This window comes from Homo sapiens, chromosome 13 (assembly GCF_000001405.40).
Source record: "Homo sapiens chromosome 13, GRCh38.p14 Primary Assembly".
Classification (NCBI taxonomy): Eukaryota; Metazoa; Chordata; class Mammalia; order Primates; family Hominidae; genus Homo; species Homo sapiens.
Window position 1 is genome coordinate 31,837,951 of NC_000013.11, and position 25,956 is coordinate 31,863,906.

The window sequence follows — 25,956 nt, forward strand, 5'->3', positions numbered from 1 at the left end:
GACTTCAGTCTCAACCACTCCTGGTGCCATGGAATATCATTCTTACAGGTCACGCGACAGAAAAATAAAAAAGTAAAGGAAAGAAATGAAACTATTTCAACTAGTCTAGTGAATAGGCAAAAACAAAAAGTGTTAGGAAATTAAAAAGGGTAATTAAAAAAAATTTTTTTTTTGAGATGGAGTTTTGCTCTTGTTGCCCAAGCTGGAGTGCAATGGCATGATCTGAGCTCACTGCAACCTCCACCTCCCTGGTTCAAATGATTCTTCTGCCTCAGCCTCCCAAGTAGTTGGGATTACAGGCACCTGCCACCACACCCAGCTAATTTTTGTATTTTTAGTAGAGACGGGGTTTCACCATATTGGCCAGGCTGGTCTCGAACTCCTGAGCTCAGGTGATCCACCTACTTGGGCCTCCCAAAGTGCTGAGATTACGGGCGTGAGCTACCGCACCTGGCCAAAATTCATTTTTGAGAGTTTAGCTACATCAAGAAAAGGCTTCAAGTCATTTATTAAACAATGGATCATGATTTTTATGTCAATCTTCTTTACACACATGCATCCATAGGGTTTTGTTTTATTTTATTTTACCATCACTCAAGCTAACTAGAATTGTGAACATCAACTTCTCTGAATAATCACTATGAAATCTTCCAAAAGAAAGGAAAGGGCTATAATCCTAGCCTAAATTTTTGGCTGTCCTCCCAATTAAGTGTCAAAACAATCAATCACTGCCTTCGGGATAACTATTCTTTATTTTACTGAAGAGCCTTTTTAGTGGTTGATTCTGAATAATTATATATCATGCTTGACTTTCCTTGCATATAATATGAATTTTTTTTCTTATTCTCTATGGTAACTGCTAAAATATTTCAAGCTTATTTCTTTTCTCTCTTAAGTACATATCTAGTTTTCTGGGGCAGGAGGAATCTGGAAATATACAAAGGCAGAGTTAGTACAGGAAGTTTAGGTTAAAAGAAACATACACAGTCATCCTTCAGTACATGCAGGGGATTGATTCCAGGACTCCCATGTATACCTGTGCATACTCTGTGGAAGGTAGATAGGGAAAGTCAGCCCTCAGTATATGTGGGCTTAGCATCCCATGAATTCTGTATTTTTCAACATGTTTGGTTGAAAAAAATCTGTGCATATGTGGACACCTGCAGTTCAAACCCACCTTGTTCAAGGGTCAACTATATTTCAAGCTTCATCTCTCAAAATCCTCTCCACATTTCAACCACATTGAGTCCATTTGCTTTTTCCTGAAACATATATACATTGTTACACCCTGTGACTTTCATGGTGCCCTTTATTCAACAGGGAATGTCTGTCTTCCCCTTTCATTCTCAGACTATTGATCCTCATTCATCCTTTATTGTCAGCTCCAAATCCACCTCCAGCACGACGTTTTCCCTACTCATCCACAACATAATCAAGTGTTTCTGTTTCAGCTAGCAAATAGCTGCCCACTAACTTTTCAAAGAGAGTGTATGCAAGTGAATTTTTTTTATTTTTAAAAAACTTCATGGTTTTTACATTTATACAACACCCAAAATTATTCTTTTTCATCAGGCTACCACTTCTGTGGTCGCTATCTGCTGGAATGGTTCCTTTCCTGAAATTTAGCCATAAGGTAAATCGATTGTCCTAAAACAGCAAGAAACCCCATGCTAGCTGATTGAAAATACCAGGATCTAGCAGACAGCTCAGCAGGAAAGCATTTTGGTTCCTCTCCAGTCCTATCCTTGATTGGCTTTGCACCCATAGAAACAGGTCCCATAAGCATCCTAAGGGACATTAGATCACTGTCTCTGTGACTCTGCCTAGCCACCTGGGAAAGGAGAAAGCCTTCTAGAGAAGTCTGCAAAGCCATGGCTAGGGGGTAGAGTTGATGGATGACAACCAGCTAAGCTGACCTAGCAACACACTTTCTACTTCTCCAGGACGGTTTTCCCATGCTATCATATATGACCCAATTAGGTCTGTGCTTTTGCTCAAATTATTTGCTTCTGAATGTATTTAGAAAAGTATAATGTTCATTTGCTTTTGCTTCTATCAGTAAAGAATACTTACTCATTTAGAGCTCTATTTGGTTGGTGCTGATCATATTTGATAACATTCACAGAATAACTTGTTTATATTCATTTTCTCATTTCTTCCAACCCATAATAACTCCTTGGGGAGGGACAACATCTGCTCCTTTGAGATGAATAGCTTCAGCCTTCTGGATGGTTTCTCCAGGCTTCAGACTCCAGGGAGATCAGCACTCCCCAGTTCTTTTGAATTCCCCAGATTTCTGCACAGAAGTTTATGGAAAACAGAATTGTAATGCTGAGGTGTTAGCTATCAGAAACCTGTGAAAGAGAAAAAAAATGAGCCTAAGAGAAGATATTGAAAAAGAAAAAGAAACAAGGAAGATTTACAAAAGATTTCAAAGACCTTTAAAATCAATAGTAAATTACCTCCTCAGGGATTAAAAATTCTATAATGAATATTAAATTTCTTCTGCTTCCAAGTATTTAGTGTCTTTACTGTTAAAATATTAATATTTTGCTTTCCTAGAATGAGATTAACTTTTAAATTCCAGGCATTTAGATTTAGAATTCAATACACAGCTTATTAAAGTGTGGGAAGTGTTAATATAATTCTCTAATGTTCTTATAACTATGTCCCAAAGCCCTAGAGCACATATGCTATATGGGCCAATTAATATCCAAATTTCATAATGTATGTCATCACCATAGGCAATTAGAATTTAAAAAAAAATGATTCCCTTTCTGATGCTAACATGACATTGGACATTTAACAAACATTCATTGAGGGCCTACTGAGAGTGGAAAGAGGGTAGGGAGAGGGGTAAGGATAGGGATGAGAATGCAAGTAAGGGGAGGGGAAGCAAGGAAATGACCAAAACACGGTACAGGTTGAGTACCCCTTATCTGAAATGCTTGGGACAAAACGTGTTTAGGATTTTGGATTTCTTCAGATTTCAGAATATTTGCGTATACATGAGATATCTTGGGGATGGGACCCAAATATAAACACAAAATTTGTTTATGTTTCATATTAGACCTATACACACAGCCTGAAAGTAATTTTGTACAATTTTTTTTTTTTTTTGAGATTGACTCTTGCTCTGTCGCCCAGGCTGGAGTGCAGTGGCACAGTCTCGACTCACTGCAATCTCCACCTCCTGGGTTCAAGCGACTCTCGTGCCTCAGCCTCCTGAGTAGCTGAGACTACAGGTGCGTGCCACCATATCCGGCTAATTTTTGTAATTTTAGTAGAGGCGAGGTTTCACCATGTTGGCCAGGCTGGTCTCGAACTCCTGGCCTCAAGTGATCCACCCGCCTCAGCCTCCCAAAGTGCCGGGATTACTGGCATGAACCACTGCATCCAGCCAATTTTGTACAATATTTTTAGGAATTGTGTGCATAAAACAAAGTTTGTGTACATTGAACCATCAGAAAGTAAAGCTGTCACTATCTCAGCCACCATGGACAGTCTGTGGTTGTTTGGGATCACCATCATTCCTGACTTTTAATTTATATGCTACTGATAAGCAATCATTTTCTTACACTTATTCACACATAAGTACTTAACAGAAAAAAAAAGATTTACCATTATTACAGTTAGAAAAAATGTGTTCAGTGTAACTAAGCAGCACAGGAGCATCATCAGAATACCTGTATCAGCTGTTAAACCAGCAGCAACAGACCTGGTGTGGTGGCTTGTGCCTGTAATCCCAGCACTTTGGGAGGCCGAGGCAGGTGGACCACTTGAGATCAGGAGTTTGAGACTCGCCTGGCCAACTTGGTGAAACCCCATCTCTACTAAAAATACAAACATTAGCTGGGCATGGTGGCATGCTCCTGTAATCCCAGCTATTCAGAAGGCTGAGGCAGGAGAATAGCTTGAACCTGGAAGGCAGAGGTTGGCTGCAGTGAGTCAAGATTGTGCCACTGCACTCCAGCCTGGTGACAGAGCAAGACGCTGTCTCAAACAAAAAAGAAAAGAAAAAAAAAAAGCAACAACAGATGAACAGTAGGCTTTCAGTCTCCACGTATGGTGCTGTATTTTGATTTAAAGGTTACCAAACATTATATTTTACTTTTTTAAATGAGAAGAAACATCAGAAGTAGTTGAGGCACAAGGAAGTAGGTCTTCTAGGGATAAGGAGATATTTGGCTGGGTGGCTTTTTTTTTTTTTTTTTTTGAGACGGAGTCTTTCTCTGTCGCCTAGGCTAGAGTACAGCGGCGCGATCTCGGCTCACTGCAACTTCCACCTCCTGGGTTCAAGCAATTCTCCTGCCTCAGCCTCCAGAGTAGCTGGGATTACAGGTGCCCGCCACCATGCCCAGCTAATTTTTGCATTTTCAGTAGAGATGTGGTTTCACCTTGTTGGCCAGGATGGTATTGATCTCTTGACCTCGTGATCTGCCCACCTTGCCCTCCCAAAGTACTAGGATTACAGGCTTGAGCCACTGCGCCTGGCCTCTGCTAGGTGGCTTTTTAAAATGTTTCCTCTGGAGTCATCTGCCTCATTAGCATTGGTTTTTGTCCAGAAGTCTCTCTTTGATTTTATAACTGGCATGATTTCTTGCTTTGTTATGAGTGCACCCTGCTCTAGTCCTTCAACAAATAAGCCCATCACACATTTTCACCATGTCATCTAGAGGCGTGAGCCACCGTGCCTGGCCCTGTGTCTTTAGTCACTGTGTTCCAAGCCTTGGAAACAGCATATACAGCATCCTTCATGCCAAACTCCTTTTAAAAACCTTCTACTCTCATGCCTCTGTTCAGTGCTGCTAGTATGCTTTCCAAGAAAGTGTTCTTATAATTACTCTTCATTTGATATTTGGTTACATAGCTGAATTAATGAAGTCACATTTTTGGGGAAAGTATATGTCATAAATGATATTTTTTATGAGAATTTCAGCAGGAGAATGAGCAGGACAGTGGTCAAGGAATAACAATATCTTGCAGTAGTCATTGAGTCCAGCTTTTCTGCAGTGAGCACTAGCCAACCACTGGTACAAAATGTTTGTGATACTAGTCAGAAAAGACGTCCCTGGCGATCCATGCCTTTTTGTTAGCATAATAATGGACTAGTAAGAAATTCATTTCTTGAAAACAGCCAAGGATGCAGGCTTTTGCCTATCACAGCAAGTTTACCCTTATGCGTGCTGGCTGCATTAGCACATCCCTGCAGTTATTCCGTCCTTGGCATCCTTAATTCCTGTAGGGGCTGTCTCATTAGCTGCAGTCACTGTCTTTCTGGGGCAATAATACTAAAGCAGTGATGTTTCATCAGCATTACAGACTTGTTCTGACGTCAGATTTTAATCAGCCATGACCTTGGCAAACTCATCAATGAATTTCTCTGCTGGGGAGAATTGCTTGAACCTGGGAGGCAGAGGTTTCACTGAGCCGAGATCTCGCCATTGCACTCCAGCCTGGGTGACAAGAGCTAGACTCCGTCTCAAAAAAAAAAAAAAAAAAATTTTATCTGCTGCCTCATGATCAGCAGATGCTTTATTACAACTAAAATCTTTAACAATTTAATGCTGTGTTTTTTCTTAAATTTCTTCAGACCGTTGAATATCACAGTTCCCTTCAGTTTTCAGTTCATCATGAATAGTTCTTTTCTTGTTTCATGATCAGTATACCATTAAGTGGCATGTGTTCACTGCGAAGCTGACACATCCACTCTTTCAATACATGATCAAAATCTGCATTTTTAGCTTTATGCAATGTTTTCCCATGTTTCATTAACTTCTATTCATCACTTGCAGCATAGAACCTCAACAGTGTATCCTTCTGATTCTTCAGGTCATATATGATGGTCATTCCTACCCCATTCTCTTCTGTAAGATGTTTCACACACCCTGTCCAGTTTCTCCAACAACTAATATTTCTGTGCTATAGATTAACATAAATGCTTCCTCTATTTCTTATCATTGTTACCCATGGGGTATCTCCAGGCCCTTTTGACATTTTAAATAATATTTTTATACCATGGAGCAGAAAATAAGCAAACAAACAAACAAAAAAACACAGTGAGCAATGCACTTGACCCAATGTGGGGCATCGTGGGGAACCTGCCATTGGAGAGTCCAGCCTGCACATGTGCCATTTTATTATCCTATGTGGGTGTGCCTGCATAGGGAAATCTGCATGTGCATGAAAAAAAATATCACAGCTGATGCAGGGGTCTTCTTTCCCTTGGGGACACTAAGTAAACTGTGTGTTGTATACCTGTGTCTTGACTGTGACCCATCACATAGGGTCAGGAATGGAATCTTCACTTATGCCATCAGGTCAGTGCTCAAAAACATTCAGATTTTGGAGCATCTCAGATTTTGGATTTTTTGATTAGGAATGCTCACCTGTACCTGTGTTCAAAAGGTGTTTATAATCCCATGAGGGATGGAAGGATGAATGGATGTAAAGGAAGGTGCCCTCAGTATGCTGACATTTGTATACTGACAATAGAAGTAGGTAGCCTCCTGTTTTTACATTGTAGAGTCACTTTTTATGAAACCTGGAATCCAGGGCTTTGTTGAACAGACTCAATTGAAGAGCTAAGACTTGTAGCTAAGTTTTTTTCCCTAGGGCTTGTAATGTTTCTAGCTCCCAATCAAAACACAGAAAGACTCCAAGTGAAAAAACAGGTTTCACTTGCTACTGCTTAGAGAGCTTTTTTAGCTCAAGAGTTCTTTGCACTTATAAGGAAGCTTTACAACTCAAAAGGTTGACAATATTGAGAATATAGGATCCAAGGTCAGTAGATGGAGTTTCATCCAACCTCCGTCTCTTAGAAGACATACAGCCTTGAGCACAACCCCTTCACCTCTCTGAGCTTCAAAGGAGGCAATGCACAAAAACCGTTTATACATACCACAAAGGTAGAAACAAAAGTCAGTTGGTGTTACCATTGTTTGCTTATATGATGATGACTGAGACCATTAACCAAAATCACACACTACACCAGGGATAGAAATGACCCAGAAGGAATAGAAAATTTACTTCCTAATTAGCCTGTGCCTCTTTAACTGAGCTCTAGTCCACAGTTCTACTCTGTCCTGTAACTGTCCAGCTTCACTTCCTGTCACACCTCTCACACTCAGCCACTTTGGCCACTGCTGAAACATTACACATCCTTCAGCCCCTTTATGATTGTCTTAGCACCTTAAACCTGCACTTCGTTTACCTCCCTAGAGTGACACCTTATTATATTATAAACTGTCCCCTCAATAGACTGGGAACTCCTTGATGACAGAGATCATGCATTATTTATCTTTGTACCCATGTCAGAGTAATTTGATAAACATGGATGTGGATTGTTGAATGAATGGATGGATGCTAGTACATAAGTCAGAATTTCTGCCCACAAAGAAAGAATTGTGACATACTCCAAATATGTGTTTATGTGGATTTCCCCACAGCACCATCACTCTGGATACTTTTTTTTTTGAAACAGTGTCTCTCTCTGTCACCCAGGCTGCAGTGCAGTGGCACCATCATAGCTCACTGCAGCCTCAGCCACCCGGGCTCAAGTGTTAATACAGTTATATTTTATTTTATTGTCACGATGGAGTCTTGCTCTGTCACCCAGGCTGGAGTGCAGTGGCACAATCTCGGCTCACTGCAACCATCGCCTTCTGGGTTCAAGCAATTCTCCTGCCTCAGCCACACGACTAGCTGGAATTACAGGCACGCACCACCATGCCCGGCTAATTTTTGTATTTTTAGTAGAGACGGGGTTTCAGCATGTTGGCCAGGCTGGTCTCGAACTCCTGACCTCGTGATCCACTTGCCTCTGCCTCCCAAAGTGCTGGGATTACAGGCGTGAGCCCCGTGCCCGGCCAATACATTTTTAAACATCAGAATTATTGAGATACTGTTCACATTCCATAAAGTTCAGCCCTTTAAAATGTACAATTCAGTGGTTTTTAGAATATTCAGAGCTGTGCATCCATTCCCACTATCAAATTGCAGAACATTCTCATCACCCTAAGAGAGTCCCATCCATTAGCAATCACTCCCCAGCCCTCCCACCCCAACAACCACTAATCTACTTTCTATCTCTATATTTTTAATTGATTGTTTGCTATACAGTATACATAGCATTACATATGAGAATGCAACTCTTCTCTGGACAGAAAAGAAATAAACGCTGAGGCAGCTTTGATTTAGCATTGAAATACAGAATCAATCTGTAACCAGCTCTATGACCTTGGACAAGTTGTTTAACTGGATTTAGTTTCTTCATAAGATAAAGAAGTCTAGAGGTGTGTAAGGACACCTTCAGGTTAAAAAACAAGCAAAAACAAAAAAGCCTTGGTGACAATTCCAGTGCTTCACCCTAGACAGCCTTTCCTGGGCTTCCGTGAGAAACGAATTTATACAAATAAGATTTCACACCACAGCTGCCGCGGCCACTGCCCTCCCCGCGCAGAGCTCTAGAGATGTTTTCTCTTTTTCTTTTCTTTCTGGCCGTCTATTTATCTCTGGGCTGGCAAGGAGAGGGAGAACTGCAGCGCCCAGGAGCGGAGGCCGAGCGCGCCGGTGCCCGCAGGAAGCCTCGCCCAGCGCGGACCGCACCCTCCCGCGACGCCCCTGGAGAAGCCGCCAGTCTCTGGGCCGCCAGCAGCGCGCGCCCCCGGCGTGGGAGGAGCGCGGCGAGCAGGGGCGGGGCCAGTGACTCCCGCAGCCAATCGGGGTGGCGGCGCGTCCTTGGAGGGTCCGCAGCTCGCCCGGCGCGCACGGGGCGGGGCTCCGCTTGACCGTGGCGGTCGCCGGGCAGCAGAGCCCGGGCGCAGCGAGCGCAGCGCAGCGCAGGGAGCGCAGGCGGTGGCGGCACCAGGTTCCCGGGGCTCCAGCGCTCGGCGCAGCGAAGTAGCCTCCGGCGGTGGCAACTACGGCGGCGGCGCCGGGGCGATGCTGTGGGTCTCGTTGGGCGCCGGTGTCCTGGCCTCTTCCTCAGGTACCCAGCCCCGCTTGCCCCTCGCCCCGGGGAACCGCAGCGCCCGGGAGGTAGCTTTGTGAGGCTGTGGGCTCGCTGCCGGGGAGTGGGTGGGTGGGGCCGGGCGGGGCTGTGCGGTCTGGGCCGCCTTCCCTCGGAGGAAGAGGGTGGGGACCGAGGGAAGCGGGCGGGGGTGGGAGCGCTGTCTCCGGGCCGCCGCTGATGGCATCCCAGGGCTCCGTCCTCCTCCTGCCTCCATGTGGGTTGAAAGAGGTTTTGTTCCAGGAGAAAGTTTGATGCCTAGACTTGAGGAGCCAAATTCGGGGGTCCCTGAGGTCCGCGCCTTTAAAGAGGCAGCCCGCCCTGCCGTGTGAGCCCGTGCCCTGCGTGTGGGCACGTGGGAACCCGTACCTGAGCAGCATTCCTGACACGGGACCTTCCTTGAGAAAATTCCCCTGTGGAAGAATCCCCCTTGGGGAGGGGGCTTTGTGGAGATGGCACCCAGAGCCCGCCCAGTGTGGGTTTTGCTTGAAAACAGTGCAGCAGGTAGTCAATGCCCCCTTGTTATCTTCCCGTAGAATGGACTCGACCAAGATCTATGATCTAAGAGCTTCAAAAATTAAATCTACCTTGCCATCTAATTAAACATCCCCAAACACTAGTGTGTTCAAGGTGCCAATAATTACTCTGTCGATTCTTTAATATTTTCTTATTGCCCATACTTTCAGTTGGCTTTTGCAGTTTTGGAAAGGGTGCTGTGGAGCATACCAAAGTGGGTAGAAGTTATGGCTCACCTCTCAGGGTGATAGCCCAGTGCAAAAAAATACAGAACACATGCCTGTCCACTCGAAGATAGGAGAAGGTTTCAGCCTTCAAAGCAAGATAGATTAGGTGGGGGTTATTTGCTTTACAAAACTTCCTCCAGTGCAGAGAAGTGATGCTTAGAGTTAAAACTGAGTTTTACACAAGTTTGTAGGAACACATCTATCATAAAGCGGCTCAGGGTAGAGGTAGTGACAGGTAGAGGTAGATATCGCATAGTCTTGCCATTAAGCAAATCTAAAAAAATGCATGTTAAATTCTGCATCATTCTCACTGATCACACGTGGATGCTCACATTTACATTTTTCCTTTCTTATCAAGATGTATTCCTACCATAAGACAACTTCATAATTCCCTCAAAACGCCTTAGCCAAGGCCATTTTGTGGTCCATATAATTTACCCCATGCTAAAAAACGTATCTGTAAAAACATTTACATTTAAGGGAATTTCCCTAGTGGTGACACAGTAGTGTCCATACATTGAGCACATTTTATTCACCAGACACATTACTAGGTGTGGACGTATATTAATACTTTAATTCTTGCAATCACTCTAAGGAGGTATTATTATTAGTTTCCCTGTTTTTGAATTTAAAGAGTTCAGGTAATTTTGCCAAGATTATTGGGCAAGTAAGTGATAGAGGCAGGATTTGAACCTGGATCTGTTTGACTCCCTGCCCATGCTCTATACTGTCTCCCAGTTCTTCTTGAGAGTTGCCCTTATTGTAATGCAGTGGCAACATATGCTATCTCTACTGGCCTGGTGCATCAGACCCCTTTACAGAGTGTTTTCTCCCACTGGGAACCCCCACTGTGTACATGTATACTGAAAGGCAACACTGGCGGTCTCCAGACTCTCCCCATCCCATCCCCAGCCTATAAATCAGATGGAAATATCCAAACATGTAAACCCACCTCATTCTTTCAGATAAGTCGGCCCCAGAAGACAGGTAACCAAGTGTTTCCCGTACTGGCACTTAAAGAGCAGTCTCTATCTTCTCAACCATCCAAGTCTATTTTAGCTCTGCATATGGAAGTACACTCCATCAGTTGGCAACAACACATCCCCTGCAGCGTTCACACTGGCACACTCGTTCTCTTGTACCAACTGTCAGAGAATTTCTGACCCGGGCCAGGCTACCTAAAAGGAAAGACTGAAATGAAGTCGCTGGGGAAAATAGTATTAGTTCCAGGGAATCCCTGAATTCTCCATGCAGGGCCCTAGGAACAGAAAGCAGGCCTTCTGCATAGTGGGAAATACCACGTATAAGGTGCAGTCTATTTTCAACACTATTGAAATACGTGTTCACCATATAAAACTACACCTGTTGTCTTGGTGATGGATGTAGCCACACGCCTATTCCTAATTTGATACTCACTTCTATGTTAAAGTAGTTGTTGCTTGGCTGAATGGTATCAAAAACTGATGTCACAATTGTGACAGTTTTGAAGCTGTGCCTAAAAAATTATTATAATCTACATCCATTGTTTTATAATTTCTCTTCCCTAGAGTTGTGTGTGTGTGTACGTGTGTGTGTTCTCTTCCTTGGTATGATTTTTAACTGTCTCTGCTTCTAAAATAATTTGCAGTAGTAAGCTTTAAAAAAAGTTCATTTTTGAGCTGTGACCATATGCTGCCTGGAAACGTATCCTTATAGTTGGCATTTTACTCATGTTACTCTCGTGCTAAGAATCTCAAAGTCCCATATGCATGCTTTGAGATTTCAAATGGACCCTCCTGTCTAAGTATTTCACTCCATTCTTGGTAGCAGTAGTAAGGTTTGAGTTTCGAATACAGATCCAGCACCTCACTTCTAATATCTCTAAACTGCCAAAAATCAAAGTAGCACCAACTAAAGTTGGGAAAGAACATGAGGCTTTCTTATCACACTCTTACGTCAGAATAGAAGGTGTTCCCAAAACATTGTTAGAAATAAGAGTGAATAGACTTTTTTAAGTGGCTAGTGATCTGCAAAACTATGCCAAATTATTGAAATTGTAGTTTTTCTAAAGTTGTGCATTTGCAATATCTTATTAACTTAAAACTGTCCAGAATCAACAAACTTCCACTCTGTATGCTGTTCTCTTTCTAAAACTTCTTATTAACTAGCAATCCATCTTTATTTCTATATTTCATCAAATTAAAAATGCCATCAGTTGTAAGACATAGCATTATTTTTTCTGCTGTACACAAAGAGAAAATATTGCCAATTTTATTATGACACTCCACTTTAAGGATATTCTTCCATGATAAGGCATGAATAGGTCACACTAGTCTCGTTGCTTTCAAGTTTCCGTCATCTCTTCCTTGGGTTTCGGTACATTTTCCTGTCAGTGTTATTGGTAGCATTGCTTGGGGTGTGACGGTTCACTTGCATGAATCTCAGTAACAAACTGTAACATAGCTTCTTTAACTTTTGTGTTTCTTTATTCAGTCTGGTAAAGCATTTGGATCTTGCTTTGTAAAATGATATGGAAATGCCAAACAAAGACAAATGTTTCCTCTAGTAATAGAACGTTTATGTCACACTGCTGTTTTGGTGCCTTCATGCATACACAGTAATGTCTCCTTGCAGTGCCAAATGATAGTGTAATCTTTTTGAAAACCATTTCAGTGGCAATTAAACAGAACACGTGCAGTGCCAACAATGCCCATAACTCAGTAGAAGTGAAAACAAAATGAATAGCTGTGACCAAGTTTATGCACGTGCAGGGACATGACAGTTGTGCTGTGAGTACTGCCAAGTTGTCAGTTATTTTAATATACCATAAATGTTAAGACATATCTTGATTTCAGGGATGTTAAAATGTGAAAAAGTAATCTTATCAATGAAATATGGTAATCTGTGTTCACTTAGTTTCATGATCCCTAACCTGATTACATTTTTTATGTATTCATTCATCCATACAGTCATTCATGGTGTTAGACTTCAAGCTGCAGGAGGGCAAGGACTTTTTCTATCTTTTGTTCTCTACTATATACCAATTGCTTAGGACAGTCTGTTTTACATAGTAAACCTGCTCAATAAAATAGTTAGTAGAATTAGTGAGTAAATATCCTCCATGGAAGCCGTGGAGACACATTGAGAAGCTCGCTACCCTCCTGTTGGTTAGAATACATATTCTTAAAATTATGACACTGACAGGAATGCCAAACCTGAAAAAGGCGAAGCAGTCCTTGATTTAATTTACAGGGTCCTATTCCAAATATGCCATTACAAAGCTAGTTTAGGATAGAAGAAATTCCATTATATCTTTTATTCATCTTGATCACTGAAGGATTACGTAACAACTTACATCTTGGTTCTGTTGTATGGTCTAAAATCAATTTCTTGAACTCTATACTTAGTCCAATTTTACATACTTGTCCTATTGTACATTTAACATCTACCAGAATTAACAGAGAAGTGTCTGTAGGCCTTTCTGAAGCAGAAACTCAGTGCTTGTGACCTTGCTTGGAAATACATCCCCAAGAATATATATATCTACTTAGGTACATTGCCCTAGAGTCCATTTTTTAACCCCCAAAATGGCCGTCTTTACATTTTGACATGTTATGAAGGAAAAGAGAAAGAAACCTTGCTGGGCAACACAGATCTCCATCTGCCAGTGCCTCTGCTTCCTCACTGCTGCCGCCTGCTCAGGCAGAGCGCACTTTTAGACCAAGGACAGGATGCTAGATGAAGATGCCAGCAGAAGGAATGGCACAGAAACTAGCTTAGCACCCTCTCTGAAGCAGTCCCAGGATCTAAAGCCAATTAGCATAGCCCAAATAACCCCACACTCAGTGTAAGAGCTAGACCTGCAAAGACGCACCCAGCTTCCAATCCAGTGAAATGTGGGACCTCTGAACACGTATCTTACGAACTGAGGTCGCTAGTGGGTTCCAGCCTGCTAGCTTAGGGGAAGATGATGTGGGCAGAGTGTCATTACTGCCTGTCCCCAAGTACGGTGAAGCAGTGTGGCATGGTGGTGGGTGCTGTGAAGCGACATGGTAGATAGCTAGAGCTTGCTCTTTCATATAGTAGAAAATAATGGTTAATTAAATCTTTTTGGTTATTCAGTAAAGGAGCTTACAAGTGCTTTTATTAAGTATTGTTAACGTGGGCCAGACAAGGTAATGTAATGTAAACGACAAAAAGTTTAAAACTTGTTTACTGAGCGTAGAGGGTGGGATGAAAGAAAACCCAAATAATCTTAGCTGCCAATTCTATAATTATGTGGGGTGTTTTAATAGTACCCAGGATTTGTTTTAACCAGGTATGGTAAAACATGCAGACACAGAAATGACTGTCATAAAGGAAGTTTATTATACTCAAGAGTCCCCTAGAAACCGGAGGTACAGCATGGCATGCCATGCAGGGGGCACACAGGGAAGCAGCAGGATCAGGCAGGAGGCAGGGGGAACAAGAAGAAATGTGGGCAAGAGCCTTACGGTGGTTTCCATGGGAAGGAATGAGCAAAGCAGGGTAAGCAGGTTCAGAATTGGTTAGTTTGCATCATTTTAGCAGGCTCTGCGGTACAGGGCTGTCTCTAGTTGTCTGCTACGTGGCCCTGGGGTGATTAGGGAAGGAGAATAGTGCTCCAGAGTATGAGTCTGATAAGGGAGCTGGTGGGGTGTGGGCTCTTTGTTGGTTTGCATATGGAGAGGCGCTTGCAGGTGAGTCCCTTACGTCTGCAGGCATTGGCTAACCCTGGGAGGGGCAGTCCGTCCAGGCCAGCAAGGTCCCAAGAGGTCAAAACATCAGAATATAGAGAATAAAATTCATGGTGGATGTATGGGGATTTTTGGAAAATGGTCAACTAATGAATTAAGCCTATGTACACATGGGGTATTCAGCCAAATGTGCAGTAGTGCCTAGTTCGGGCTCTGACACATGGTATTCAGTAAACATTAATTAAATCTGAGTTGTGGTGCCAGATGGTCCAACCATGCTAACACTCAGTTCTTGAGATATTGTAGTCAGGTGTGCAGTGTTTATCTTGAGAAAAAGAAAAAAGTGAGAAACCTACACTACATAAAGGATCCCCAGATGAAGGATGAACCCCACTCAGGACAAAAAAGGCAAAACACTTGACTCTTTTAAAACATTAGGGAACTCTGGCCGGGCACGGTGGCTCACACCTGTAATCCCAGCACTTTGGGAGGCTGAGGCGGGTAGATCACGAGGTCAGGAGATCAAGACCATCCTCGTTAACACGGTGAAACCCCGTCTCTACTAAAAATACAAAAAAATTAGCAGGACGTGGTGGTGGGCGCCTGTAGTCCCAGCCACTCGGGAGGCTGAGGCAGGAGAATGGCATAAACCCGGGAGGCAGAGCTTGCAGTGAGCCAAGATTGCGCCACTGCACTCCAGCCTGGGCGACAGAGCCAGACTCCATCTCAAAAAAAAAAAAAGAAAAAAACTTACTGGGGAGGCTGAGGCAGGAGAATGGTGTGAACCCTGCAGGTGGAGCTTGCAGTGAGCCTACCGCACCGCTGCACTCCAGTCTGGACGACAGAGTGAGACTCCATCTCAAAAAAAAAAAAAAAAAAAAAACAAAAACACACACACACACACACACACACACACACACAACAAAACATTAGTGAACTCTTAAGCAAATACATTTTTAGCTATAAGGTCTTAAAATGTACAAGATGATTATATGTCTAGGGTAATTCCTTATCCACTGTGGATTTGGAATACCAACAAAAATAAGTAAACATGAAGGCCACATGCATCTTTTTAAAAGGGTGTTTCTCAGAGTAAATATTGGAGTTGCAAAGTGAATTGTGTGTTGCAAATTTTGTGCTCAGGAGTAGGCTTCTAAATGGAAGTTACTCAAAATAGCATGAAACATACTTTTCTTCTTGACTACATGTCAGTATTAATCAAATGATCAGATGATACATACACACATACGAAGTAATGATACTGGAGAGAATTACATGAAGGTAATTAACAAAATATGTGTTAGTGGCAAGCTTAGTCACAGAACATTTAAAATGTACCTGTATTAACTCTGATGGACATGGGTTTAGACTCAAGCACTACTTATCACGATGAATGGCAGGAGTGCATGAAGGTGGGAGTGTTAGGGCTCACTGCTAAGTAAATTGAATGACCTATTGCTATGGTCAGCCTCATGACTTTTCTTTATGTGGTTGGTTAATGATTATAGCAACTTTAAAGTCCTGTGACTTAGAATCTTGACCATGCACGTTAAGAAATATTAATGGAAGCATAAGCAAGAGGTCAATCTAATAATCTAAGAAGAGTAATTCCTTCACGGCAGAAACTCTGAGATTGCCCTCTCCTTACAGCTGCTTTCACCTTGTAACTTTTCGCACATCTCCTTTGCATTGTGTAGGAGCTTATCCACGTTGATGGAAATTGTATTAATGTATTGCTGGAGCACAGCTGCTCTCCCATTGTGTTTCCAAACTGACATCATAACTCTTTAATTAAAGTGGCAGTGTTAGCCTCAAATGGCTGGCAAAACATTTCTGCCTGGCTAATGGTGTTGAACTGGGTTTGAGGTTGGTCAGGACAATCATTGGCTTTATCCATCCCAGTGAAGCATGTCTCTTAAGACAAATTTTTCAATCCAGGCTTTCATGTCTTTTAACCTCCAATTCCATACACAAATAAGGCCCGTATACATGTGGAGTATTTAGTCAAATGAGATCTATGCAGAAATACTCTCAGGCCCTTGCTTTCCTGGAGCCTTTCGTTTATGTTGATACTTATAAGTGAAAGCGCATAATGGTGAGGCTGGTGGGTAGAGGGGGCAGGTGAAGAGCCTTGCTGGAGCCGTTCTAAGTTTGTGCATTCTATCTTAGCTTTAACCTTCATGCATTTGAATTGCACTCATTTGGGGATAGGGGTGGGAAGAGGCATTCCCTCCTTATCTTTTTAGCCCTAGAGCCTAGCATTGTGCCTGCAAGTGGTAGGAGCTTAATGTATATTGGTTGAATTTTAAAATGTTAGTTGATTGGTTGACACAGAAATTCCCAGCCTTCTTTGGCTTAAGGATTCCTATAAATTATGAATAAAAGTCCTTACAAAATACTCTATAATCTGATAGTTAAATGATCTAGAAGGAAGAATCAAGAATATAAAAACTGCTTTTTTAATGAATAGAAGCCATGAAGTTAAACTGGCCTTAACAAATTAAAATATCAATTACAAGTGACTGTTACTAAAATTCTATGATATTGGACTGAAAACTAGACAGATTAAAATAAATAGAAATTCCATATTTAGATTATTTAGTGAACTTAATTTAAAACATACAAATGAACAATAGAGCTTTGAAGAAAAGATCAATTATTTAATGAAGTTTGCAAGACCAATAGAATAGCAGTTCTAAGAAGTAAAAACAGTAAGAAAGAGAATAATATACTTTTTGTCATAACCAAATAGTCCAATAAATTTCAGATAGGCCTTAGTGTTAAATGTTGGTGTGAGGGGGCAGGGAGGTGGGGAAAGAAAGGAAACAAAGTAATGTATTTATCCCAGATGTGAAAGCAGTTAATATTTTTTTCTGAATATTTATGACATCTTACAAAAGACAGATGCATTGGAATGAAGAAAACTGAAAAGCATGTAAATAATGAAATGTAGTAAAATAATTCTAAAAGGGAAAGTGACAAAAATGATAAAAACATGGCTGATGAGAACTGTGGAAGATACGTAAGGAATTGAGATGAATATGGGATATATGGCATGAGTTCTCAGAATCTGGTTCATGGTGGTTGAGGGAGGTGAGCAGACATTTGGGACCTGGAAATACAAATGGAAGATCCAGAGCACAAAACATACACATTTATTGCCACCTCTTTAAGATGTATCTTGTGCTTTGACAAAAATCAGATGTGATTTGAAAAGTTGAAATTCTGTGTCCACTGACTCTTTTTTTTTCATTTGTTGAACTAGTAAAACAAAAATAACAATAACAATCCTTGAACCACTACTAAAGAAGGTAAATTGTAGGGACTTTATTTAGAACCCACTGAGACAGAATTAAATATCAGGATTTTCTTATTTTACATTGATGCCTTTCCAGACAGTAGAAATAAATTCAACAGAAGTCTTTAGTCTGGTCACTCAGAGACAATGGTAGCACATTAGACAGTGTCTCTACCTTAGTTGTATCTCTTGAAAACACACTTATCCAAAACATTATTAAGGTTTTGAAATTCAGTCTCAATCCCTAAGAAATGTTCACTTCAGCATTGTTTTTCTTACTTCTGTGAGAGCTGGAGGTTAAAACTCTGTGAATAGTGCATGGAAATGAAGAATGACTTTTCTGTCTATCAAAAGTATGAAAATAGGGGCTGGGTATGGTGGCTCATGCCTGTAATCCTAGCACTTTGGGAGGCTGAGGTGGGTGGATCAGCTGAGGTCAGGAGTTCGAGACCAGCCTGGCCAACATGGTGAAACCTCGTCTCTACTAAAAAAAATACAAAAATTACGCAGGCATGGAGGTGTGTGCCTGTAGTCCCAGCTACGTGGGAGGCTGAGGCAGGAGAGTCAGTTGAACCCAGGAGGCGGAGGTTGCAGTGAGCCAAGATCGCGCCATTGCACTCCAGCCTTGGTGACAGAGCGAGACTCCGTCAGGGAAAAAAAAAAAAAAAGTATCAAAATAGGGGCTAAGAAGTCCCTGGAGTCATAGCTATATTATATTGCATATGATTTTAGAATGGAAAGATCTTCAGCTCCCGCTCATCTGGACTTGCTTTCCCTCATCCACAGAATGAGGAGAGAATCAATGACTGTTGAAGACTGTATGGTTGGGATCACCCCTGGGGGCTTTACCTTCTCTCGTTATATCATTTCATCCCCACAGTAGTCCCCCACGTGGTACACCCCATTATTGTCTTTATTTCACAGATTAGCAAACTGAAGAACAGAGAGGTGAGGTATTTTTCCCAAAGTCACCCTAATAGTCAGTGAAGAAGCTAGGAGAACCCAGAGTGTCTTCAGAATTATGTATTTAAGCACTTGATATGTGCTTACAAACTCATTTTTGAGTTAAACTCTTCCATTCAGTGAAAAAGAAGTTAATGATGAGCTGTTATGAAAGCAAGCTTCTATGTTGTTTTCATAACTGGATGTTTCTATGTGCTTATGTAGGTGTACATTATATGCCCATGGCATGTGCTTCACATCCCTCTACCTTTGCTTCCTTGTCCGTAAAATAGGTCTATTCATTTCTACTGGACAGGTTTGTTCTGAATTTGCAAGATAATCTGTGTAAGGCATCTAGTGCATTAAAGTTACAGTTGTTATTGTTGCTTTGGGAAATTAATGTAACAATCTAGTGAAAGTCACAGGCATTTTTATCTCTAGATTTAGCCCAGCCATGTCCATTACTATGATACCAACCCCACCCTAGCCGCTCAACATCACACATTCACAGGAGCTTCCTTACTGACCCTCACAAGTCCAGTCTACAACCCTGTCTTCTCCATGAGGACCTGTGTTTTGTTCCTTACATGAAGTGGCTAGACGAATGGGAAGCAGAAGTGGAAAAGGAAGCACTTCCAAAGGAAAGAGGCAGAGCACAGAGTGGCCTTATTCTCTGAAGAAAGTTGCACCCACTCAGCAGAACAGCAGAATTAAATCCGCCAAAAGTAGAATACAAGGAAAGTTTCCAGTCAACACTCTGGTGCCAAGATTGGGGAACTATCATCTTTATTTGCTGTCCTTTGAGTCTTGGATGTATTATCTTATCAAATAAGAAGAAAACCATAGGCAACCTCTAGTTTACTATTCATGCACTGACAAAATAGAGTGTATGTAATTACAGGCTCCATAAGATCTTAAGTAGTTAGCAGATCTTAAACATTCTTGCAAATATACTGTAGGCAGTGAAGCCTACATTGTGTCCTCCTGATCTTTCCTTAAGAGATCCTGGGGCAGCCACTAAGAGCTTTAGAAGTCCAAATTGCTCTTTTATTCTCAGAGGTCCAGCACTACAGGTGTGTGACACCTGATTAACACATTTTAAAATATACTAAATGCATTTTTTTGTATGAATACCTTTTTAAAATATATTTTTACTATTCAAGCAATGTGTTCAGTGTATAAAAATGTAAAGATTTAGGTAAGCAAATAGAAGAAAATGGAAACGATCCACAATCCTACCTCCTAAATATAATCACTATTTGCGTTTTATTTCTTCCCAGGTGTCTTTTTTCACCTGTAACATTGTTTACAAAAACTGAATTATTTAATATACAGTTTTATAAGCTGCTTTCTTCACATAGGACAACTTATCCCAACTATCTTTCCATAATAGTAAATCATTATACTGATTTTTACATAGATTAAAGGCATCAGACCTTGGTTCTTGTGTTTTGGGATACTGGAAGACCCCCTACTCAGTCCCTAGGCTAAGGACTTTTTCTGTCTCTACATAAGGCATACTCCTTGCCTCATGGAGTTGTCAAATTGCTGAAGCTTGGGTCTACCTGCTAAGAGGGAGCTCTATATCTGGACTCTTACATCTGCCCGGTAGTCTTGTCATCATGAGCCTCCCACTATTTTCATGATCTAAAAGGGGTCTCCGAGTTATCCTGGTGGTTCTGACATGGAAGTGCAAATGACCTTTTTTTTTGCCTTGCATCTTCTGAGAGATGAATGTCAGGAGACACACAACCCTGCTAACTGGCCTCTTAAAACCAAGCCCATCTGCCAATAAAAACTGCCATTCAAAATGCTGATACCCTCTTCATCCTGTAATTGCCATTTCTACAGCTGGCTCTCAATTGTTGCTTCTCTTGGGAGCCAACATGCCAAACCTAATTTCACAGATAATAACCAAACTTCATGATAGTTCAAATCTCCTCCCCATCAATCTTTTAACTGGATCTGCTCACAAATGAACTGGTTCAGGTTTTTTCCTTCTTTTATTTCCCCGATCAGGCCCTGATTCAGAGCCTAATGAACAATGAGGTAGCCAAAATTTGGTTGCCAGAGGGACAGGCAGACCAGTGTGTCTTGAGTATGTCAGTCTGAAACCACCATACTGAACTGTGTGTGATGAGTATGAAGCAAGGTGTTGTATACCAATGGAATCAGACACTATTCCTTCTTGGTTCTTTATTCAAATATTTTACCCAAAACACATATTTTGCTACCAAGGTTCTCCAAAAGCCCATCAAAGCTCTTCAAACATGTTTCAACTAATTGATGTTCTTTTTCTTTTTATACTACCTTGACCTGTTCTTTCCTCAGTCTGCTTCCATCTTATCCCCAACTTCCTGCAAAAAAAGAAAACAAAAAAAGCAAAAAATATATACATATGTGTAATGTGTGTATTATGTATAATTATATATTACAATGTGTGTATAGTATATGTATACACATTTAAAAACCAAAGTTGTCATTCTCTAGCCTCAAATGTTTTCATTCTCTTACCTTCCCCACTGTGGAGCACTGAGCCTTGAGCCCATTAGTCGCCACCTATATCTGTGGCAGTCAAGCCTCCTTTCCACCCCGGCCAGCGAGGAGCTGCTGCTTCACCTCTTTAGCCCTCTCTCTACCAGTTTCTTCCTCCCCCAACATAAAGTCTCAGTTGCCAGATCCAATCTTCTTTCAGTGCTTCAATTTCTGTTCTCCCCCTTTCTTTACTTTTGTACTATGTCTTTTTTATTTCCCTGATATTTTTGTCCTCTCGGTGAGACCATAGGATGTATCTGAAAGAACAAACCTTAAGATCATGGTATTTTCTGTGACCATCACACTGTTAAAGTTTTCTAAAATAGCACTGTTTTTCCTTAAAGGAAGTCATTCTGTGCTTTTCAAGGCCCTCATGGAGCTAATTGGGTTGTAACTATAAGAAAGGGTTACTGCCCTCTGGTTACATCACAGATGCATCATAGAAGGGCCATTTTGATTTAGGCATTGCAAAGCACTCATTTCTGACCACGTTCTCTCTGTCTTTGCTTTATAAGTGGTTTATTCCTCAGAGGTAGCGGTGATTCAGGCCCCGGAGGACCGCTCCAGCCTATTTGAATAAACTATCAATAACATTAAAAGCCTTCGCAGACACTGATGTTTGCCAGCACTTACAGGCTAGTGCAAATTGGATGAGTGCCTTGTTGGTGTTTTCAGTTCCTCCTCAGTGTTTGTTAAACAGTTGAAGTATTTGTCAGAAATGTCAATTGGACACAAATGCATTATAATATGCACTTTTAATTTTTTTTTTTTTTACTAAAACTGTGGAACTTGATTTCTTGTTGGATTATGTCCTTAGCACTGGAAAGGAACACTGGAAGTGTTGAAAAGAAATTATATGTGAATTACCCTCGTTTAGTAGAAGACAGTCGAAGCTGGCACAGCCTCCTGAGCTTTCAGCCAGGATTGAGTGCCGAAGACTGTTGATTAGCAGGCAGAAAGAGCAGGAGCCCAGAATCTGTGCCCTCCTCCTGTCTTCCACCCAACAAAGTGTCCCAGGCCCACTGACCCAGCAAGGGAGCGACGCCAGCTGGACCCTGGACTAGAAAACAAGAAACACAATTCAAAGCCAACAAGAGCCTGGGGAAAATGACCACAGTACCATTGATTTTATCTGGGTCCTGGTTTAGATTCAGGACATCAGTGATTTCTCCCTTGAAATCTTTGTAAAAAATATGCCTATTTTTTTTACATGTGTGTGTGCTTTTTTCTTTTCGTTTCTCTACTTTCCCTTCCTCCCTCCCATCCTCCTTTTCTTTCTTCTGAAGACAGTCCGTATCTTTCATCAGATTCTCAAAGGAATCCATGAGTAACAAGTGTTTAAGAACCACAATTCTAGATTTTCTCCTCTTTAGCCTCTTTGCTGACTATGACTCAAGTTGCTCCTGGAAAGATGGAAATTTCAGGCGATGTCCCCAACTCCAAAGTTTAGATACCATGGGAAATAAAACATTTTAAACCCAAACTTTTTCATGTCCGTAGCACCCAGTGAATCTTAGAAACCATAAAATTAGAGGGAGGCTGCTATGGTGAGGCCAAACAGCACGGACAGTGATTCTGCCCACTCCCAGCATGGTCTGAAGGCTGTAGGATGACACCAAATTGCCTAACAAATGGTTGAACTGGGCTGCCATCTAACTTTTGTGAACAGATCTTTATTATTTTGTCTCCAGTGGGCATATATGCCCACAACTTTGGCTATAATTCTGAACAGCCATAGGTCCAAATACACCTTCTTTGTTCTGAAATTCTAAAATACACCCAACAAACACAGTCATTCAAAAAATATATGTTCTTTCAGATCGTAAGTGCAGTGAGAATTGATGACATTTATTTTGTTTTTCACTCAGAATATAAGTTCCTCAAGAGCATTGATATTGGTCTGTGGAAAGAATGGATGCTTGAAGGACATAGAGTATCTCCTTTGTAAAAATGACTGGTCTGAAATAATGTAAATCAAAAGGAAATCAAGTGGTAATTAAGTCCGGTTCCATATGCAGTTAGGTTTTGAGAGCTTAAGGACTGTCCTTTATCACATCACATGCTGTCCATGATGAATTGACCCAATAGACATACAGGGAAAAGAAATATATAAAATTTTTACTTTTGAAAGTTTTGTATTAGTCTTAATACAGTATTAGAGTGAAAGCTCAACCTAATTTTGGAAGGCAGAGTGTAAGTGAGTTTATTTTACACCATCTGTTTTGTTGGCTAAATTTCCTTCTGCCAAGCTTTGGACCTATCAGTTCTGCTGATGAGTTTTATCTGTGAACTTGAGTAAAGTTTCTGAATTTTTGTAGATGGATTTACTTATTTTTAAAACTTCGCAAGGTGGTCTCTATTTTACTTGAACACACGTTAAATAAGAGGGTATGCTTCACTGAAAGGAATGTCTTCATTGAGGATTAACCAACCAATGCCAAAGAAAGTGATGAATGACGGATGTTAATTTAATTATCCTGCAGATGATCCTGAACCATTACTGCTTAAGTGCCAAACAGATTCTTCTGTTTACAAATAGAGCACTTTCTTTGGCATTAGCAATAGCTTAGTGCATTGTTTGTAGGGTTTATGCTTCCTTTTCTTAAGAAAAAAAAAAGACATAACCACGTCTTTTTTAGTCTGCCATGTACCACTTCACAAGTACAACAAAGCCTCATTTATCCACTGTTGTAGGGGAACGAATATGTTCCCAATAGGTTAGTTTTTCAGATTGCTTAAGCTCTCACTTTGTTGGTAATCTTTCTAAAATGAAGACACACTCCTCTGTCTTCTGAAGCAGAGAGGGCTGCCAGGAACTTTCTCTTTTCTGGATGGTTTGGGCCATCTGTGTGAACATGGTGATGTGCCCTCCAGGGCTGTAAACCTATGTATGTGGAACCATTTGTCCATTAACCTAAGTTACCCCAGATGCGTATGCTTGCTTTCTTATTCTCTCCAATTTTTGTGAAACTTTTAACTCCACAAATTGTCACAGTTACTTTTCATACCTGCCACAATATCGTTTAATATACAGCTATTTCCTGTAGTTACTTGGGTGGCTCCACACCTCTCTTATGCTATAAAGAGCACTTTAAGAATGCTACACTTTTATTAATAATAAAGGAGTTAATATTGACATTTAATTTAGGACAATGACACTTACTGGTTTTAATTCCTTTTAAAATGGGCTTAGGCTAAAAAATAGCTTCTGGTCCATTACAATGAAATTGGTAAATTTCTAAAATATACCTTACAATTTTTAGGTTTGAACCCTTTAGCAACTATGTGTGCAAAGTCCATTATACAACTCTACTTGAAGTCAGTCTATTAATTGTACTTTGTTAAAAATCTCAGCTTGATGTATATTGTATATTGTAAATAACATGAGCGACAAAATAATGCAATTAACAAGAGCCTAAAGGGAAATAAAATGGGAGTTTTGAAGAGCTCACATCACTCCAAATGTAAATATAACTTTTCAGTCACTAGAGAGAGATTTAGGTACATTTAGAGTTATACGTCTCCCAGATATAAGGACCTGGCTATGTACTAAAGACTTAAAGACGTGATGTGTGTGTGTGTGTGTGTGTGTGTGTGTGTGTGTGTGTGTGTGTCCACAGAAATAATCTTTCTTGGTACATGCTTAGCAATCTGAAAAAAATTTTTTCATGGAACGGAGACAATATCTCCATTTTTTATTCCATCTTTTACAATATTTATTTGGGCATTGCAAGCAGATCCATTTTTGCCTGTGACAAACACCTATAGTTTTCTTGTTCAAAACTTCTATATAGCTGTGGTGACAGTGGCTATAAATAGCTTATTAGGAGCCATTTGATTAGGTGAACACGTGTTTCGGTTTTGTAGAAAAGTCTGGTTACTACAGCAGCTTCCTCTTTTGTCCTAGAGCAGCATTTAATTTTTTTTCTTTTTTCAGTGCCAGACTAGAATTATTAGTAGCCTTTTTGGCATTTTTTTTTTCCTCTATGAATGCCAGTCATCTGGAGCTATGGCAGTTGTTCAACAAAACTGATTCTTCTGCAGGTTTAAACCAGGTGATTTAGGGCCTCAAGCCATTCTAGACCGAAATCTTTATTTGCTTTTCTCTACTAGCCAAGTTCACAAGATAATTAGAAATCATCCCATTCCTTTTTGGGTTTGCTCACAGAGCATTATTTTTGTTTTCCTATTTAACTATCATTCCATTTGATTATATATTATCCAATAGTTTATAAGTTCATTTTCCCTGGTGTTTATCAGAATAACACTTCTACACACCTCCCTCACTTCATGAGGAAGAATCCCTGGGGATGACTGTGTAAAAATCTCTGCCCGAGAAACGCAAATCAAAACCACAATGAGAAACTATCTCCCACCAGTTAGAATGGCGATCATTAAAAACTCAGGAAACAACAGGTGCTGGAGAGGATATGGAGAAATAGGAACACTTTTACACTGTTGGTGGGAGTGTAAACTAGTTCAACCATTGTGGAAGACAGTGTGGCAATTCCTCAAGGATCTAGAACTAGAAATACTATTTTACCCAGCGATCCCATTACTGGGTATATACCCAAAGGATTATAAATCATGCTACTATAAAGACACATGCACATGTATGTTTATTGCGGCACTATTCACAATAGCAAAGACTTGGAACCAACCCAGATGTCCATAAATGGTAGACTGGATTAAGAAAATGTGGCACATATACACCATGGAATACTATGCAGCCAT

At 41.0% G+C, this 25,956-nt stretch overlaps 3 long non-coding RNA genes and 1 pseudogene across 4 annotated transcripts in view, besides 4 other annotated features; 2 read left to right on the forward strand and 2 right to left on the reverse strand.

The window, feature by feature from the left end:
* Positions 1–872: 872 nt before the first annotated feature.
* LOC124903150 (uncharacterized) lies at positions 873–10,786 on the reverse strand. Its single transcript, XR_007063747.1, has 3 exons — positions 10,706–10,786; positions 2,074–2,354; positions 873–1,262 (listed from the first exon to the last, which is right to left on the reverse strand). It is a non-coding gene; the product is annotated as an uncharacterized LOC124903150 (long non-coding RNA).
* Positions 8,502–9,021: a silencer, noted in NCBI's record as "silent region_5243". NCBI's record gives its function as "represses an Ori minimal core promoter by ATAC-STARR-seq in GM12878 lymphoblastoid cells {active_cell/tissue: GM12878}" and the evidence as "EXISTENCE:reporter gene assay evidence [ECO:0000049][PMID:35858748]".
* Positions 8,502–9,371: a biological region, named in NCBI's record as "H3K4me1 hESC enhancer GRCh37_chr13:32420957-32421458".
* Positions 8,833–25,956, forward strand: part of EEF1DP3 (eukaryotic translation elongation factor 1 delta pseudogene 3) — a 112,802-nt pseudogene continuing 95,678 nt past the window's right edge. The window contains exon 1 of the transcript NR_027062.1: positions 8,833–8,989. The product of NR_027062.1 is annotated as a eukaryotic translation elongation factor 1 delta pseudogene 3 (transcript). The remainder of the gene's footprint in view (positions 8,990–25,956) is intronic.
* Positions 8,870–9,371: an enhancer, noted in NCBI's record as "H3K4me1 hESC enhancer chr13:32420957-32421458 (GRCh37/hg19 assembly coordinates)". NCBI's record gives its function as "activates a minimal SCP1, AML or CMV promoter by ChIP-STARR-seq in primed H9 embryonic stem cells {active_cell/tissue: H9 hESC(primed)}" and the evidence as "EXISTENCE:reporter gene assay evidence [ECO:0000049][PMID:30033119]".
* LOC124900336 (uncharacterized) overlaps positions 9,255–25,956 on the forward strand; it is a 33,342-nt gene continuing 16,640 nt past the window's right edge. Inside the window, exon 1 of the long non-coding RNA XR_007063748.1 lies at positions 9,255–14,259. This is a non-coding gene — a long non-coding RNA (uncharacterized LOC124900336). The remainder of the gene's footprint in view (positions 14,260–25,956) is intronic.
* Positions 9,372–9,871: an enhancer, noted in NCBI's record as "H3K4me1 hESC enhancer chr13:32421459-32421958 (GRCh37/hg19 assembly coordinates)". NCBI's record gives its function as "activates a minimal SCP1, AML or CMV promoter by ChIP-STARR-seq in primed H9 embryonic stem cells {active_cell/tissue: H9 hESC(primed)}" and the evidence as "EXISTENCE:reporter gene assay evidence [ECO:0000049][PMID:30033119]".
* Positions 20,869–21,334, reverse strand: LOC124903149 (uncharacterized). The gene is made up of 2 exons (XR_007063746.1): positions 21,202–21,334; positions 20,869–21,044 (listed from the first exon to the last, which is right to left on the reverse strand). It is a non-coding gene; the product is annotated as an uncharacterized LOC124903149 (long non-coding RNA).